Raw genomic sequence first — 19,974 nt, 5'->3', positions numbered from 1 at the left:
GCTTTATTCCTGGAATGCAAGGTTGGTTGAATATATGCAAATCAATAAATGTGATTCATCACATAAACAGAACTAAAAGCAAAAACTACATAATCATCTCAATAGATGCAGAAAAGCCTTTCAATAAAATTCAACATCACTTTATGTTGAAAATCTACAATAAATTAGTCTCTGAAAGAACATACATCAAAATAATAACAGATATCTATGACAAACCCACAGCCAACATCTTACTGAATGAGCAAAAACCAAAAGAATTCTCCTTAAAAATTGGAAAAAAAGACAAATGCTCACTGTCAACACTTCTAATCAATAAGTATTAAATTCCTAGCCAGAGTAATTAGTCAAGGTAAATAAATAAAAGGCATCCAAATAGGAAAAGAGAAAGTTGAACTTCCTGCTTACTAATGATAATTTTATACCTGGAAAACCCCATAGTCTGCCCAAAGAATCCTAGAACTAATAAACAACTTCAGTAAATTTCCAGGATATAAAATCAATATGCAAAAATTATTACCATTTCTATACACCAGTAATATCCAAGCTGAAAGTCAAATCAAGAATGCAAACCCATTCACTATAGTAACAGAAATAATAAAATACTGAGGAATACATCTAAGCAAGTAGGTGAAAGATCTCTACAATGAAAATTATGGTGCACTGCTGCAAGAAATCAGATATGACACACAAAAAAGGAAAAACATTTTATGCTCATGAATAGGAAGAAATAATATTGTTAATATGACCATTGAGTCCAAAGCAATTTACACATTCAAAGTTATTCCTATCAAACTCCCAATTACATTATTTACAGTACTGGAAAAAAAACTATTTTCAAATTCATATAAAACCAAAAAGGAGCCCAAATAGCTAAAGGAATCCTAAGCAAAAAGAACAAAGCCAAAGACATGACACTACCTTACCTCAAACTATATCACAAGGCTACAGAAACCAAAACAGCATGGTACTAGTACAAAAACAGAGACATAGACCAATGGACAAGTCAGGGGACCCAGAAATAAAGCCCCACGTCTACAACCATCTGACTTTTGACAAAATAAACAAGTATTGAGAAAAGGACTTCTTAATAAATGGTACTAGGATGACTGGCTAGCCATATGCAGAAGATTGAAATTGAGCCATACACAAAATATGTACCATACACAGAACATAAACCATACACAAAATCAACTCTACTCACTGGCTTGAGGTGTCCTAAAAACATAGGGAAAGAAAAAAAATCAGTTTGAGATGGAATAAAACTTATATGTGAGACTCAAAGCTACAAAAACCCTAAAAGAAAACCTAAGAAATATAATTCTGGATATTGGCCTTGGAAAAGATTAATGATGAAGTCCCCAAAAGCAATTGCAACAAAAGCAAAAATAGAAAAGTGGGGCTTAATTAAAGTAAAGAGTTTCTGCATAGCAAAAGAAACTATCAGCAGAGTTAATCGACAACCTACAGGACAGGAGAAAATATTTGCAAAGTATGCATTTGACAAAGGTCTAATACTGAGACTCAGTTAGGAACAGAAGCAAATCAATAAGCAAAAAACAAACAACCCCATGTATGAATGGGCAAAGGACTTGAGCAGACACTTCTTAAAAGAAGACATTCATGCGTCCAACAAGCGTGTGAAAAGATCCTCAACATCACTAATCATTAGACACATGCAAATCAAAACCACCATTAAATATCATCTAACACCAGTCAGAATGCCTATTATTAAAATGTCAGAAAATTACAAATGTTGATGTTGTTGTGGAGAAAAGCAATGCTTATACACTGACAGTGGTAATGTAAATTAGTTCAGTCACTGTGGAAAGCAGTTTGGAGATTTCTCAAATCAATTAGAACAGAACTACAATTCAATCCAGTAATCCTATTATCAAGTACACACCCAGACAAATATAAATTGTTGTTTTAGGGCATTCTTGTGATGGTATAAATACCTGAGACTGGGTAATTTATATAGAAAATAGGTTTTATTTTATAAAGAATTTAGAAAGAAATTCTAGGTAATTTATAAAGAAAATAGGCGTATTGGTTCATGCTTTTGCAGGCTGTACAAGCATGGTACCAGCATCTTCTTGGCTTCTAGGGAGACCTCAGTGAGATTTTACTCATGGCAGAAGGCAAAGTGAGAACAGACTCATAACATGGCAAAAGTAGGAACAAAAGAGAGAGAATGGGAGGCACCTAACACTGTTAAACAACCTGATCTTGTGTGAACGCACTCATCACTAAGGAGATTCCATTAAGACATTCTTGCGGGATCTACCTCATCAATGATCCCAACACCTTCCACTACACCCTACCTCTAACACTGGATATTACATTTTAACATGGTATTTGGTGGGGATAAAGATACAAACCATATCAGTTGTTCCACCAAAAAGACACATGCACTCATATTGCAGTGAACTGGGGTATACTGCAATGAACTCAGTCTCATTGCAGTTCTATTCACAATACTAAAGACATGAATTCGACCTAGATGCTCATTGACAGCGGACTGTGTAAATAAAATGTGGTACATACACATCATAAAATACTACAGAGCCGTAATAAGAATGAAATCATGCCCTTTGCAGAAACATGGATGTAGCTGGAGGCTTTATGCTAAATTAAATTAAAGCAGGAACAGAATACCAAGTACTGTATTTTTTCACTTATATGTGGGAGGTAAAGGTGGAGTACTCATAGACACCAAAAGAGGAATAGTAGACACCGAGGAGAGTGTAAAAACTATCTATCCGGTACTGTGTTACTAACTCGGTGATGAAATCACTTATACACCAAACCCCAGCAACATGCACTTTACCCATGTAACAAGCCTGCACATGTACCCCCAAATCTAAAATAAAAGTAGAAAAAGAAATACAAAAGAAACGAAATGATACCTTATCCCCCATACTTCATTCCTAATGAAGACAACACGAATGAATGAGGTGGATGCAGACCTTATCCTCCATACTTCATTCATAATGAAGACAATATGAATGAATAAGGCGGATGCAGATTCAGCAAAACTGAGTTCTGGTCCTGGGTCATTCACTAGGTGAGTGTATTAGTTCGTTTTCACATTGCTATAAAAAATTACCCAAGAGTGGGTAATTTATAAAGAAAAGAGGTTTAATTGACTGGCAGTTCTGCAGGCTATACAGGAAGCACGACTCGGGAGACCTCGGGAGACTTATAACCATGGCAGAAGGTGAAGGGGAAGCAGGCATGTCTTACTTGGCTGGAGAAGGAGGAAGAGAGTGGAGGGGGAGATGCTACATACTTTGTAACAGTTAGATATAGAGAGACCTCACTATCACAATAACAGCAAAGGGGAAATCCGCCACCATGATCCAATCACCTCCTACCCAGCCCTTCCTCCAATACTGGGGATGAAAATTCCACATGAGATTTGGATGGGGACACAAACCCAAACCATATCAGTGAGAAAACCTGAAAAAGCAATGCTAGTAATCTTTCAAAGTAGGCCTTTTACAGAATGCCCTTTAAAAATATATACATAGTGCACACAAGGTCTAGGCTCAGTATCAATTAGTACAGAATTATTAACAAGACTCAATAAACCTTATCTTCTTCATATGTAAAACCAAAGCCCTTTTGAGCTCTAACCTTTCACTACTCTGTGTAATAAAACAGCATCTACATACAGGCATCTACATTTCCCCATGGAAAAATACAAATATATATTCATTTTAGTGTGCCTTTGGGAAAATAAAGATATCAAAGTGGGATAACTTAAACAACAGATTATGTAAATATTTTGAAGTATATTTCATCAGTTACTCTTAATTGTTTGGATTTTTATATATAAAAATTGAAATGCACTACATGAATAATTTTATGTCTTCAGAGTAAAATGCATATTTTTTTTCAGAGAAATTACTATTTGACCTTATCAATTGTTCACAGAACAAATGTTGTTATACTTTACTAATGCAATAAGACTGTGAGTTGCATTTACACTGGTTTACTGAGGCACATTTGATAAACAATAAACTGCACAAGTTTATGTACACAATATGATCAGTTTTACCAGATGTACACACCTGTGAAAGTAACAAAACAATCAAGATAATGAGCATATCTATTATCCCCAAGTTGTTTTGTAGCACTTTCAAATCTCTCTCTCCTACCACATCCCATTTTCCCCATGGCCAGAAAAATACTGATCATCTTTATTTTATTTTCTGTTAGTTTGACTTTTCTAGATTGTGTGTGTGTGTGTGTGTGTGTGTGTGTGTGGTGTGGGTGTGTATGTTTAACAAATGGGATCATAAAACACATGGTCTTTTGTTTCTGGCTTTTTTCTTATGGACAAATAATTCTGAGAATCATTTATATTGTTCATAGCAATAGTTCATTTCTTTTGTTGGTAGCTGTTATAGTGGCTATTGTAATATCACACAAAAAGTAAATTTTAGCGAAGAGCATTTTACCTAAAATAATAGGATCTTTTTATAGTAATAAAGGAGCTGATTCATCAAGAGGCCATAACAATCTGAAACATTTCTATATCTGATAATGAACTTCAAGTAAAATAAGGAAAAAGCAATAGAATTGCAAGGAGAACTAGAAAAGTTCTTTATTATAGTTGCAGATATTGACACCACTCTGAATAGTAGATAGAACCATGAGACAGGAAATTAGTAAGGATATTGAACACATAAATAGCATTATTAACCACAGTGACATAATTAACATTCATAGAACACTCAATCTAACGGCACCAAAAAACACATTCTTTGCTAGTTTCTATGGAACATTTGCCAAGATAGATTGTATTCTGACTATTGAAATGTATTCAAGTCCTACAATGTATGCTCTTTGAACATAATTTGTTTATTCACTCACCTATTAATGTGCAATTGAAAATAATAAATGTTTCTCAATTTATAAGAGATAGAATATTTTAGGATCTGAATATTGTTAAATAATTTGAAATCCTCAAGAAACATGGATTATTATAAACGTGTATGTTTCAATCAGTGAAACATGTATATTTCAAACACATAAATGCATATATTTCAATCAGTATGCATGTTTCAAACACACATTCAATAATATGTGTATTCCAACACACAAATTATAAATACACGTATTTAAAATACACATTGAAATATGTGTGTTTCAATCAGAAATTATATATATGCTTATATATATTTCACTTAACAAAAAATAGCTTTTTGTTAATTGTAGGAGACATAACAGAAACTGTAAACAAGGTAGCCATTTCTCTTAAGCACGATTGTCTTTTATTTAAAATTAATTTATTTTCTACCTTTTTGGCTGAAGAATTAAGTTTTGAAAGTTTCTGATCATTTTGGTGTGAAAACAAGGTAGGTGATTATCTAAGTCAATTTTATTTGAGGTTAAGGAATTCTCTCTAAATCACAATGCCCAAAATTATATTCTATAAAATTTTTTCTTATATTTTTAGACTGTACGTATTTTATTTTTTATACTTAAATATACAGTAATTAGGCATCCGTTTACAATGGTATAGCTGATTGTTGTAATGTTTCTTCATTGCAAAGTCTGAAACGTGTAACTCAAGGTTTAGTTTATCTGGGAACCCAGACTAACATAAATTTCAGTACCAAGAAAGGTTCTAGAGGAAAATAATTTTGAGAATGAGTTTTAAAATTTATACTGGGGTTTCCAGAATAGGCTTTCTAATCCAATTAGATTTAAAGATACAAATGTCTTTATTTCCAGTAATGTAAAGAGCACTGATAGTCCACGTCGTGAACTCTTTATAGAGGTATGAAAACTGTCTGTAATATATACTACTAATCAACCAAATACAAAAAGTAAGGAGATGGATGACTGTATATGACACCTTCAAACATTTTTGGAAAACTAACAAATATAATAACATGGGTTAGTTCTTTCTAATGTCACTGGACAAAGTAGGGGAATAAAAGATGAGCTCAGACATTTGAGTTCTCAGCTCAAGCATCAAGTAAACAACTTAAGACATTCAATGTATACCCAGAAGGAGAATCTTATTTCCTGTAGTCACAGGGCTGAAATTGCTGAATATCAAACTCAAAACCTCATCCTGTGACTGGCTGAAGTACAATGCAAATCAAAGGCCCAGTCTTGCATTTTGCCTCTTCTTAAAGTTAGGACTATTATGGTGGGAAAGACCAAGTGAAAGCCATTATCACTACCTTTACCTGGGAAAATAGTAAGTAACAAGCAATATCATATTCCTGGAAGAACTGCGGAGTTTTGTGCCACCATCAAGGTTTTAAAGTTTGCAGGGGCGGTAATTCCAACATTATTTTTCAACTCACCTATTTGACTTTTGCAGAAGACCTGTGAATCTTGAAGAATGACAGCAGATTATCATAAGCTTAATCAGGTGGTAACTCAAATTGCAGATGCCATTGTAGTTTTTATTTCATTGCTTGGGCAAATTAACACATCCCTTGATATGTGATATGCAGTTACTGATACAGCAAATGCCCTTTTCTCCAACACTGTCTATCCACCAGACGTGATTCGTTTTCAGCTAGCAAAACCAGAACTTTACCTTCACTGTCTTGCCTCAGGGTATATAAACTCTCCAGCCTTATATCATAATTTGGCTTGCAGGGATCTTCATCCTCTTTTCCTTCTGCAAGATATCACACAGACCCATTACATTGATGACATTTTACTAATTGGATCTAGTGAGAAAGAAGTAGCCGCTATTCAGACTCATTGATAAGAATTTTACATGTTAAAAGATGAGAAATAAATGTTACTAAAATCCAGAATTCTGTATCTAACAAATTTGTGGACGTCCACTGGGAGGAATAATGTTAAAGGTATATCTTAAAGTGATGAATGAGTTGTTGCACCTGGTGTCTCCCACAATAAATAAAGAGGCACAATGCCTAGTGGGCTTCCTTAGATTGTGAATGCAACACAATCCACAGTTTAGTATGCTACTTCAGCCCATTTAAATAGGACCCCAAAAAGCTGCTAGTTTTTTGTAGGGCTTAGAACAAAAGAAAGACAGGTCCAGGCTCTGGGCAAGCTGTTCGGCCACATGGGCCATATGATCCAGCAGATTCAACGGTACTTGAAATGTCAGTGGCAGATAGGGATATTTTTTGGAGACTTTGGCAGGACTCTATAAGAGAGTCACAGCATGAGCTTTTAGGATTTTAGAGCACGACCCTGGCATTATCTGAAGATAGCTATTCTTCTATCGAGAAACAGCTTTTGGCCCAAAACTGGGTCTTAGTAGAGGCTTAATACTCACCCACGGGCAAACAATGGGTGAGTATCAGTAGGGGTTTCCTCTAGAGAACCCCAACTAATACAGTGACTGACTTCAACACACCAGGAAGGTAGGGAAAAAAATATATAAAATCAACCCAACTCAATTCAAAGAATTACCAGATAAAATAAAGTGGGATTCTCTTAGTCATTATATTTTGCAGTGGTTTGTTATGTAGACAGTGGAGGGCAAGATAATGGTACCCCAAAGGATGTCTTATTTACTGAAAGCTGCAAATATATCATCTTACATGGAATGAAATGACTTTTTAGGCCAGGGGAGGTGGCTCATGCCTGTGGTCCCAGCACTTTGGGAGGCTGAGGCGGGTGGGTTATCTGAGGTCAGGAGTTTGAGACCAGCCTGGCCAACATGCTGAAACCCTATCTCTAGTAGAGATACAAAAATTAGCTGGGCATGATGGTGCACACCCATAGTACCAGCTACTTGGGAGGCTGAGGCAGGAGAATCATTTGAGCCTGGGAGGCAGAGGCTGCAGTGGGCCGAGATTGCGTCACTGCAATCCAGTCTGGGCTATGGAACAAGACTCCATGTTAACAAACAAACAAACAAAAAAACCACCACCACCACCACCACCAAAAAAAAAACCACTTTGTAGATGTAACTAAGGACAAGAGAGGGGAAGATTATGAGATTATGCTGGACTATCAAGGTAGACCCAATGTGATCGCAAAGCTCCTGAAAAGAAAATAAGGAATCAGGGAGTCTGAGTCAGAGAAGGAGGTGTGTCGATGAAAGCAAGGCTCAGAGTAAGGCAATTGCTGGCCTGGAAGATGGAAGAGGATCATAAGTCAAAGAATGCAGGCAGACTCTAGCAGCCTTTAAAGTAATGTAATACTGCTGACATTATGATTTTAGCCCAGTGAAGTCCATAACAGAGTTTGACCTCTAGAACTGTAAAATAATACATTTGTGGTCTTTTTAAAGCCACTAACTTCATTGTAATTTCTTACAGTAGCAAGAGGAAACTAACACACAGGCATAGATAAGTGGAACCGAAACTGGAAACTGCAAGTGGGCTCTTATTATAACAAAACGATATCCCTTCTGTCATCAGCTTTGTGATTATATGGGAGATAAAGGCCTAAATGGAGGAAAGAAGACTGTTAGTGAAGTCTCTTAGAGCAGTGAGAAAATTGCTGTTAGGGACTGGAGACAAAGAAAACCGTGTTTGCAGATATTTAGGAAAATTGTTGCCTATGATAAATTGGAAAACAGAAAATGTACCTAATGTGTTTGTGAATGTGACTAAGGAGATTTCAAGGCAGCATATTGAAAGTGCTAATTGTCTTTTTTTTTCTTCTCAAGTATGATAGGGTGTTGCAGGAGACATACGTGCTAGAGAGATATATGCTCAATTTTCAAGCAGCATTCAGAAGATTATTTCTTACAAAAGACTTGTTCTCTCTTTCCCACACTTTCTAGCTGTCAAAAGTTTCTCAAAAGTAATAAATGTCATAGAGTCAAAGATCAAAGTCTGGGTATTGTCAGTAAAACATAGTTTGGGGATAAAAAAAAAATCAAGGGTGTCCTTTGTTAGATCACATGGGAATGTAAGGCCGTGCCTTATAGGCTTTTATAACTGGATAAATGGGCTTTTAAAATTGTTAAGGGAATCATATAATAAGATCCCCCTTTGCAGCCCCACAGAGAAGTAACTATCTTGAAAACATTCCTAAGTGTGGTTCTTGTCTAATGTAGTAGACTATAATTTGATACATTTACACATACGTATATATATGTATATATATAAACATGTATGTATATACATATATATACATACATGTTTTTATATACATATATATACATACATGTTTATATGTGTGTGTCTATCTATCTATCTAGAACTCCCACTGTTTTAAAAAAGTTGTATCAGCTTGAATTTAGTGGGACTTAAGAAGTTTAAATGAAAATAGTTTTCTAGGCAGTAAATACATCTGGCCAAGAAACAAGCCAAGAAATTTACCCAGCTATAATCACGTACTCTTTCCTATAGAAAAGTAGGAATATCTCAAAGAGTGACCCTAACAATACGAAGAACAATATAGATAGTTATCTTACCCTTGGAATGGAATCAAACCCTAATTAAGGAAAATTCCCTGTGCTGTTGGTGGGGGGCAGTGGGTGATGGAATTGGTCATTTTTTTCTGACTGGATCTCAAAATTTCTACAGACACATAACTGTCAAAAGTCTCCAATTCCTTCCCTATTATTTGAATTGCCGTGTCTATTGTTATATCCTGCTCCTGCCTTATAATTATCTGTAGAGTTTTCCAGAAGGAGTTACATTATCTTTTTAGTGGACAGAACTCTGCACTGAAGAATTGAACCCAGGTGTAATCCCTGAGATGCTATGATCACCTGGGATTAACTTAGTTGAATAAATTCTAAAATTCAAATCTTATCATGGTAACACAATAATATACATTGAAAGTTTCAGGAAGGGTTTGAGTGAGTTTAGCATGTGGAAAAGATGTGAAACATTAGGAGACATAAGGAATATTGAGCTACATTGTGACATTAATTGTGCTCAGTGCATTATGCCCTTGTTTACACCCTCTATGCAAACACATTGACTATGTGCTTATCCATATGATTTAATGTGACTGACTGAACATCACAAGCATGATGCAAATAGAGGCTTGGGGAGCATTTGCATATTGGGACTTCCATTTGGAAGGTTGCCTTTTAGAAGCTGGTAGCCACTTAAGGGAGCTCAGCTACATCATATGTTGCAAAATAATTACCGAATTTATTCAAATCAATATGTGAAATCATAAAAAATAATACATTGTTAATGTTTTAAGTCACTACTACATTTCAATTTGTTATTCAATAATAGGTTACTGTCTAACGTAACTTACTCTGAGAATCGATGTTGAAATATGGCGGATATAAAGATACTCATGGCTACTATTTATTGGTATTTTCTGTGTGGTAGACATTGCATGAAGAACTGCATAAATATGATCTCAATAAATCTTTAAATAATCTCTTGAAGATGAATATTATTTACTTTAGGATAACAATTTTATACATGAGGAAATAAAGCTGCAAATTTTTATCTAAATTTATCACATTCAGAGCTAGTAATAGGTAACGGAATTGGGGTGTGAACCTAGGTTTATTCTAATTCTAATATCTCGGTTCTCATCTGTTTTTCAATATTACTCCAAGGATCCCAGTTTTGCATCCTGGTTGCAAAGACGTAGGAAATTCTTTTCTCTTCTGCTGAGTAAATGTGTGGATCTCTTGGATCTCTTGGTTTCTGAATTGGTGAAAATTTTTTTTATGCTTTTCAGAGAGTACTTCCCTTATAATTAGTAGGGGACCTTCACATAGTCAAACCTAGTGCTAAAGCTTCCTCAAACAGCATTGAATAAGCCCTGGATGTGTGTTGCATCCCCTCTGTGGGTTCAGTCTGTGTCCTTGCTTACAAACTAGATGCCTATTTCCTTCTCTTCAGCCAATGCTTCCCAACACAAAGAAAATTGCAACTTCCTTCAAAAACTCTATTTTCAAAAACGACTCTTCCAAGATAATTGGTATTTGCTTCATCTCCAGATGTGATGGTATACAAATGTTTTGGACTGATTTTGGTAAATATCCTTTTCTTTATATATCTCAAACTTCTCAGGCCAGTTTCTGACATTGGTCATGATTGAGATAGATGAAAGAAAGATGAGAGAAGTAGGAAGTGTGGAAATTGGAGGTGGAATTGGAAAGGTTGATGTAAACTAAAATAATCAAGTTAATCTTGTTTTCCAAATATGAAGACATTTAAATACTAGAAATATCTGACTTTACAGCCCATATATTAATAAAAATCTAAATTAAAGACTAAATTAAAGTGTAATAAATTTTATATTATTATAGTGGCCACTCTACCAAAAAATAAAATGCAAAAGGCTATCTATGGAAGATGTTAAAGTTATCCAGAAAAGTTAAAATACACAAACGTATGCGTTCTATTAAAGAACAAGTTTATGCCAAAGACGAGTACATATATGACACCTCATATAAAATATAAAATAATATTTATATTTTGAGAACATTTTAATTTGTGTATTAAAAACTCATGTTAAAAAAGAAATTTAAAATGCTGAGGCCATATATGGCATGAAACTTAGGAGAAATATGTTCATTATTTAATGTATAATAAAGAGAATTTGTATTTAGGCAATGCCTTGGGTTAGAAAAAATGTGGAAGAAATTCTCTAAAATATTATCAGGGTTACCTGCACAATTTCCAAAACACATCAGAGACTTAATTTTGGCTTCTTTCATGAGGCATAGTTTGTATTTTATTTTAATTGTCTTTATAATAAACATAGAATACTGAAATACCAAGCACAATATATATCTTTTTCTTCACTTTTCAAAGTGTTTGATGTTATTTTTATTCTATATGTGTATGTATTTTGAGGTATTTGTAAAGCTTACATTGAAAATTGCCCCGTTGTGAAAAGTTGGCACTCAGATTTTTAGTTTTTAAGAGTAAGTCACATTTATACTAGTTTTAAAAAATGAAAAGTACTTGTGAAATCATGTGTGAAATGATTAGCTTTGAAACAGAAGTTAATAATAGACTATCATTCAATATGTTCCAATGTTTATACTCTCTTTTAAAGAATGGTTGTTTGCTGTTAACTTGTGACAATGCTCTGGTTCCACAGTTGTTTACATTTTGACTGGTTTGTTCCAAACTTATTTTTCCTTCAAGTCTTTTTATTATTAAGTGCATTATTTTGCAGAATATGATGCTGTTGGGGAATGCATACATTGCGTTAAAGCATAACTGCTATATTTAGTTGGTTGCCTAGCATTTATAAATTGATCAACACAATTTGGTAAATGAAAAAATAAAGTGTCTCTAATCCATTGGACCTCAAATTTTAGCGTGCATCAGAATCATCAGAAATTCTTATTGAAACACAAATTACCATGGCCCTCTCCTACAACCTTCTGATTGATCGAATCTCTGGTGAGGTCTAGAAATTTACAATTCGAACAAGTTCCCAGGTAATGCTGCTCTAGGGGGTCACATTTTGAGAACCACTGCTCTAAACCAACTGTTTATTCATTAATTCTCTGAGCTCTGCTCAGTGTAGAAGCCAAAAGATTGTAACTCATTGAGAGATAAGATGGCAGAAAGCATTCTCTTCTTTAGAATATCTAGACATATGTTTGGAAATTTCTTAACACAGAAGTATTTGAAAAGCCATAAGCTTGCTCACTGCAGAAATGTTATTCAAAATAAACATAAAATGCAACACTTTATTAAAGTAAAAGTATCTTTACTATTAATATACAAATGGTGAAGTGTGACAAGTTTGATATACTGTAAGCCATACTTTCAATGTCTCTCATAAATACAAAACTTCAACATTTGCAGTATAATTTTTACAGTTTAGACATATATATACAGCATTTCATTGGGACATACCATATTGAAACAATAAGAAAACGTTGTGGTAGCTAACTTAAGAATATAGAATTTGAATGGAATATATAAATTAAAGAAAATAAAAGATAGTATGTTTCAGTACATACTGAGCACAGCATACAGTTCACATACCAAAAAAGCTTTTTTTTTAAAAAAACCTTTATTTCTAACTTCACATATTTCTAACAGGGTTTAGAGGCAAATGCTAAACCATGAATATTTCTTTAAGAGTTGGAACAAGTAGGTTTGTTCTTAATAGTATCATTTCTTTTATAGTATGCATGTTGTTCTCTAAAAAAACTATTTGCAAAATTAAATCATAGATTCTATCTCTGTTAACTTTCTCCTCTGTGTTACACTGTTTTCTCCTTCGCATCAGTGTAATCGGCCATAATTTTTATCTAAGCAACGTTCCTAGTCCCTGGTCTAGCACTTCTCAAAGTCAGGTCCTTCTTAGCTATTCCAAATATAGCAATTCAGTTTGCCTTTCTAGATCCACTCATTTCTTTGTTTCTCTACTCTCCTATGTCGGGTTGTGATTTGAAATTCTCCAACAGTGATGGTTTTGCTTACTGTCTTCCATGGGAGGCTAAAAACAGATGCCAAAAGATTCATGTTTTCATTTCAGAAAAGAAAAAAAATAAGTAGCAATATTTAAATTTACATGAGCAATAATTCTGAATGTTGTGTGGCCAGAATCTCAAAAATTGTATAAAATGAAAATTTAAAGAGGTAATAACAAATAATATATTTATGTTATAGATAAAATCCTAAAGTAATAAACTATTTTTCTAAGAATATTGTGTTATCAAATAAATATTTAGCATTATATATAATATAAAATTCTTTGCCTTTATATGAGAAGATATAATTAATCTATTCGCATTCTTGTATAATTGTAAATAGCTGCATCTACATGGGTAAATTCAATTTTTCAAAAAGGAAGGATGGGAGCTGGAAGAAAATTATGTTTGTTCAGCAACTACTATATGTGGGTCTTTTTATAAATTTCTCATTTGGACATAAAATTGTTTCATCTTAAGACATTATTAAGTCCATGAATAAAATACTTTCTTGAAAATTTTACCTTCTAAGATGAAGTATTTCATTTCTGCGACATCCATAATTTAATTTTAGCCTATGTTGATACATCCATATGCAATTTCAATGTGAGTGACTAAGTATTAATGCTTCAAAGGGTAAATAAACAGATGCAAATATTTTCTCTCTAAAGATAAATAAATAATGCTAACAAACTTATTGTTAAAAATATATCCAGATACAAAGTTTGTTGAATAAGCACATTATGTGATAATGATTATGAGTATGAGCATGAAAAAACTTCATGGGGGATTTAAGTTGAATGTTTACCTTATTTTCTGTGAAAAACAACATTGGGAACCTCATAAATAATTATAATATGCTATTCCAATATTTCCTAAATTAACTAATGGAAAATATTATTTCTACTTCTTGAACTGTACATATTTTCGTCAGTGATAATCTTATTGCCAAAAATAAAGGTTGATTTATTATTCGAAATAAAAAATATATATAAATGGAATAATGAAGACCCAAGAAACACCATAGTAATTTGCTTGATTTTCAAAAGTTATCTGTTGTCTTTGTCTTACAACTGGCAAAATTTAATTTCAACAATATCTAGAATGTATTTATTGTTTAGAAAAACAATACAGAACAGATTAAGAATATTTCATGTGTGTGTATAAAAAGAATTGTTTTGACATGAATTAAAGTAAATTATACAGTATAGTTTATTATATTTAGATTTTATATTCAAGGTAAAATAGTTTGAATTGAACTTAATTACTGACTGTAAATAAGACAGCATCATTTGAGTATCTCAAATCTAAGCAAAATATACTAGTAATGATGTTAATTGTAGTTTTTTTCTTTTAATAAAGCAGACTGTCATGCTAATTAAAAGGCACAGATACATCTTAATTATTTAAAATAAGAAGCATAAACAAAGATATGATCATAAAGTTACAATTAATTGTTGGCACACAAATAAATAATTTGATTAATAAAATCTATTTATATAAATATTTAATTCAAAGACTAAGATCCATATGAAGTGTGCTGGATCAAATAGCCTTTGAAAAATGCTTTTATAGTTATTAATATTAAAAATAAAAGAAAACAAGAAACATTAATGTTAGACATTAGTATCAATAGAATGGCAATGTCTTAGCCCACAAAAATAATAAATAAATCTTTAAAAATACAATTCTTAAATTCCTTTGACAATCATTGTAAAATATGTTGACACATTAATTTGTGTCAAAATTCTGATATTACTCTTTCCTCTTATATGTTGTTGAATACAGATTGTCACTGCCTAATTGCACCTAACCTATCAAGAAATACCAAGTTTTAGGTGATATCTTTGCCTCTTGGTTTAAAATATCATAGGGTTCAAATTATTTTAACAGTACTTATATTCAGTCAATTCTTTTGACACTTTATACTAATATTTAAGAGTACTCTCAGACAATAAAAATAACATTTATATGGTTATATGTATATGTTTGTTTAATCTAGAATAAGAATGAAACAGGTTATTTCAGTTCTACTCATATTTTACAATTTACTACAAGCCATCTTTTATTTTGAAATTTTTATAAATCATTTGGAGCATTCCATTGAAATATTAAAAAAAATACTTTATCACAGTATTGCCTTGCTTCAGCATGGCATGGATTTCAAGGACAAGAGGTAAGGACCACCCGGGCAACTGAAACAGTGCACTTGAAATAGTCTGAATATAATTAGCTTCAGATTATCTGTTAATTTCAGATCATTACTCCACATGAGTGGCAGGAAATTTAACATCATATATATATATGTATATATATGTGTATATATATATATGTGTATATATATATGAAATATATGTCAATTTCTTTACAAGGAAAATCCGAATAAATGAGAGAAACAGAAATGTCACATTGAGAAAACACAAAAATAGTTTGTTATTTATTATGATTTCTGCACTCTTGAAGTAAAGCACGAATATAACAATAGTAAACATGCGAAATGACTTTCTCAGTCATCGTATTTCTTTCACCATCATTAGTTTAAAACCATGTGGCCCTATTTAGAAATAATTAGCATTCATGGCTATTGCTTCATGGACACTTTACTAAGCTTGTACACTTTGCACAAACAAACTAATTCAAGTATTTTGACTAGTTTTAGTACACTGGTACAAAACAAAACAAACAACAAAATAAAACACAGCAAAATAAAGCAAACTGGATGATCAGACAAACATAAACTAAATATGAACAGTCAAATCTGTCAAAGACCAGTTGGATAATCAAGTCAGTTAAAATGACCTAACTGCTTTGTTTGTTTAGACACTACTCAAATTCTTAGGTAGGCACAAGAATTCTGTTCTTTTCTTCAGAATACGCCAGACAGGAACGCAAGGAGAGATTCCCGCATTTAACCCTGCAACTTATGGCAAAGACACTGCGACGATTTGGTGCCTTCAAACGAAGATGGTCATATTCTGTCCTGCTGTAGCCAGAAAAGTGATGAATTATATAAAAGTACTTAGTTTTCTCTCCTTGGCTGAGTTTCAAGCACTTTGTAAATAAAAATATTCATGAGTTGCCTTAATTTTACATTTAATAATCATCAGGTTATCTCTACAGAGAGACACACCCAGAGCAGGTTTCTGCAATGTTAAAATTGCTCCAATATTCCTTTGGAACGCATTCCCTGTCCTGTCACTATTTGAGCTATAATACCACCTGAAACACCAAAGGTTCTGAATGTTACAGGGCCTAAGGAAACCTTTGGCTCTCAAGGTTAATAAACCTGCTCCCAAATGGTATGTATGTTTATAATGATAAATACTTTTTTAAACCTTACATATAAGTTAAATCATGTGTCACTCTATTACCTCTGGGAGCTTGCATAGCTTGGAAGTAAAGAAGCATTTTATTCTGGTATAACCCTAACAAAAGATATTAGAAAGTTTGTGTTGAATACTTAAGGAATTTCTTCAACCAAAGTTGTTTATCAAAATCTTAAAATGACTTCTAGCTAGAACATCCGGAATAGAACACATAGTGGCATTTAATTATTTATCATTTACTCTTTTATGGCACATTAAAATGTTAAATAATTTCTTCTTAATTTAGTCAACCTTAAAATTTTTATTAGCCAATTATATTTAATGGTGAACCTATAACAGTGGTAAAATTAGTTCTTAAAGATTATATAAAACCATGGGCTAAAAATATATCTGAGGATATGATTTGAAGTATTTGAACACTAAAGACTTGTTTTTTGATAAATTATTTTAAAAATAAATGATAATCACATATTTATAAATATATCAAGACACCATATTGATATTGTTCCCATTTCAATTTACTTTATTTGAAGCTGAGGGCAGAAATCAATATTATTTCACTTGCAATACACTTTTTTTTGTATAATCCATTGTGAATGAATAGGACATATATAAAGAGATAGAGATTTAGAAAGTCTTTCTAATCTAATTTTATATACAACTAATATTCTTTCAAATGGGTAACAATTTTGATCTGGCACTTCAGTCTATCAAAAATCAATGTTGAAAATGCACTGAATCATAACTTGAAATGAGTTCTCCAAAGTTTTCAATTTTTAATATCTGCTAAAGATAACTGGCTCTTTGACGCCTACGTTCCCTGAAATTCCCCTGATAAAATGAGTAACCATTATTAAGCTCCTTCATCTTGAAGTTGAAAGCCACTTTAAGAATCTATTTGCCCAGAATAGGACTCATACACATGCAGGGCCTTCTTACACATGTAGCTCACGTTTTTTTTCCTTAACCCCTATATTTGTTGGTGGTATTAAATATAGTTCTTAATAAATAGAGCACTTTAGCCACATAATAAATTCCAGTACTTCAGTCATAGAATCAAATTGAATACCAAAGTGTTGGTGCCAGTCAGTCTTGATATTGAAATTCTTAACAAAATTAACAACAACAGCAACAACAACAACAATAACAAAAGGGAATGGATCATGGGCAGGAGTATTTGATCATATGTATATGTGTACAAGCTATTCCAAGCTAGAAGTTTCCCAAGAAATTAAGGTCAATGGAATAGTTTTGGTCATAGGGTCACGCAATCCAAATACTCTTCGTAGTGTTGTTCAAGCCCCTGTAATATTGTTGTTATGCTTTGCTGTCGTCTTCTTTTGATTGAATGATGTCGTTAGAAACTTTAATTTCTATAGTTTCTGGATTTAGAGCTTCTTTCCCATCTTCTTCCTTTAAAGGCAATTTTCTGGAAGATAAAAAATAATAAGCTTCATTTTCTGAGGTATTTAAGGAGACGTACCTTAACCTTTAAGTTACTGTTTTGTAAGGAAAATATGCTCCAATAATATGCTAACATTTTATATATGCTAAATAAGTTACTATTTTATAGAGAAAACGTGCTACAATAATTAGAAAGGAAAAATTAAATTTATTAACATAATATAAAATAGATTTAAAAAGATCTAAAAGAGAGTAAAAACAATTACTTGGCCTTTTAAAAATGTAATGCAGAATGATGAATGAAACAATATATTTGTAGATATAGATGCACCAAATTGCTCACTATAGGGTGGCTTAGATTTGGTAACTAGTTGTTGATCTCCAAAATATAATTACATGTTATGGAAGGTAAAATGCCAAAATATTTTTAAATGTCAATGATATGATTTATTAGCACTACGTTTTCTCCAGTGAAAACAATTAATAATTGTTGCCATATTCTGTTACATAAAATTCAGAAACCAGGCTGGGCGTGGTGGCTCATGCTTGTAATCCTAGCACTTTGGGATGCTGAGGCGGGTGGATCACTTGAGGTCAGGAGTTCAAGACCAGCCTGGCCAAAACGGTGAAACCAGGTATCTACTAAAATTACAAAAATTAGACGGAAATCACTTGAACCGGGAGGTGGAGATTGCAGTGAGCTGAGATCATGCCACTGCACTTCAGCCTGGGCAACAGAGCAAGACTCCATCTCAAATAATAATAATTATTATTAAAATAAAATAAAATAAAATTCAGAAACTAAGTGAATTAACAATATTCCTTAGAACTTAATGCAAATGAACATATTTTAGGACTTGCTCACTTTTTAATATTTATTGTATATGTTTTCTTTTGTCTCTTTTCACATTGTTTTTCTTGTCACTTTTATGTCACTTTGCAACACGGATTTTGAGTTGTTTGCAATTGTAACTTATGAAGCAATACCAACTTTATTTCTTAATATCAAGACAGCGTCATAAACCCTACTTCGATGCCAATGAATTGTGCTTTCAAGATTTTCCTAAAACTTGCAAATTCAATTGTTTACTATTGTGTACATGACATTTGGAGATGGGTTTTTCTCCCTTAACAACATACTTTTTCCACACCAAGAAAATTAAGTTAGAAATAGTATTCCAGGCCAGGCGCAGTGGCTCACGCCTCTAATCCTAGCACTTTGGGAGGCCAAGGCGGGCGGATCACATGAGGTCAGGAGTTGGAGACCGGCCTGACCAACATGGAGAAAGCCTGTCTTTACTAAAATACCAAATTAACCTGGTGTGGCAGCGTGCGCCTGTAATCCCAGCTATTCGGGAGGCTGAGACAGGAGAATTGCTTGAACCTGGGAGGCGGAGGTTGAGGTGAGCTGAGATTGCGCCATTGCACTCCAGCCTGGGCAACAAGAGCGAAACTAGTCTCGGAAAAAAAAAAAAAAGAAAGAAATAGTATTCCAATCCATCTCTGTGACTTTAACCTTACCATGTTATAATGGAGTGAAAGTTACAATGCTAGTTCATCTGGGATTTATTTGTAATTTATTTTATATTTTTGAATGAGAAGGGTAAAACATTCTGCAGATCAAAGCAATCAGAACTAATCAAAAGAAGTAATAGGCAAAAACTAGTAATATCCATTGCTGGGAATGAAAAAAACATTAAAAAACATTGTACCAACGAGAGCAGGCTATTTTATATATGTTATAAATAGTGCAGTCTCAGTTATTCCTTTTTAGCATTCACAAGTACTGAAAATATTGACAATACAAGGTCATAAAAGCAATGTGTCACCTCAAGCATCAAACTGTAGAGAAAGAGTTCTGATTAGAGTTCTGATAGTAAGTTAGCATAATAATATATCTCTTACTCATGAAATATA

General features: G+C 33.1%; 1 protein-coding gene across 8 annotated transcripts in view; it reads right to left on the bottom strand.

Moving 5' to 3' along the window:
* Positions 1–12,598: 12,598 nt before the first annotated feature.
* The window catches only part of NCAM2 (neural cell adhesion molecule 2), a 544,921-nt gene continuing 537,545 nt past the window's right edge, over positions 12,599–19,974 (bottom strand). For all 8 annotated transcript variants that reach the window (NM_001352592.2, NM_001352591.2, NM_004540.5 and 5 more), the window contains one exon: positions 12,599–18,082. In NM_001352592.2, the coding sequence (NP_001339521.1) occupies positions 17,971–18,082 (112 nt within the window). In that variant the 3' untranslated portion in view covers positions 12,599–17,970. The remainder of the gene's footprint in view (positions 18,083–19,974) is intronic.

The sequence above is a fragment of the Homo sapiens genome, chromosome 21 (assembly GCF_000001405.40).
Source record: "Homo sapiens chromosome 21, GRCh38.p14 Primary Assembly".
Taxonomy (NCBI): domain Eukaryota; kingdom Metazoa; phylum Chordata; class Mammalia; order Primates; family Hominidae; genus Homo; species Homo sapiens.
This window is presented reverse-complemented; position numbering and strand designations above follow the sequence as displayed.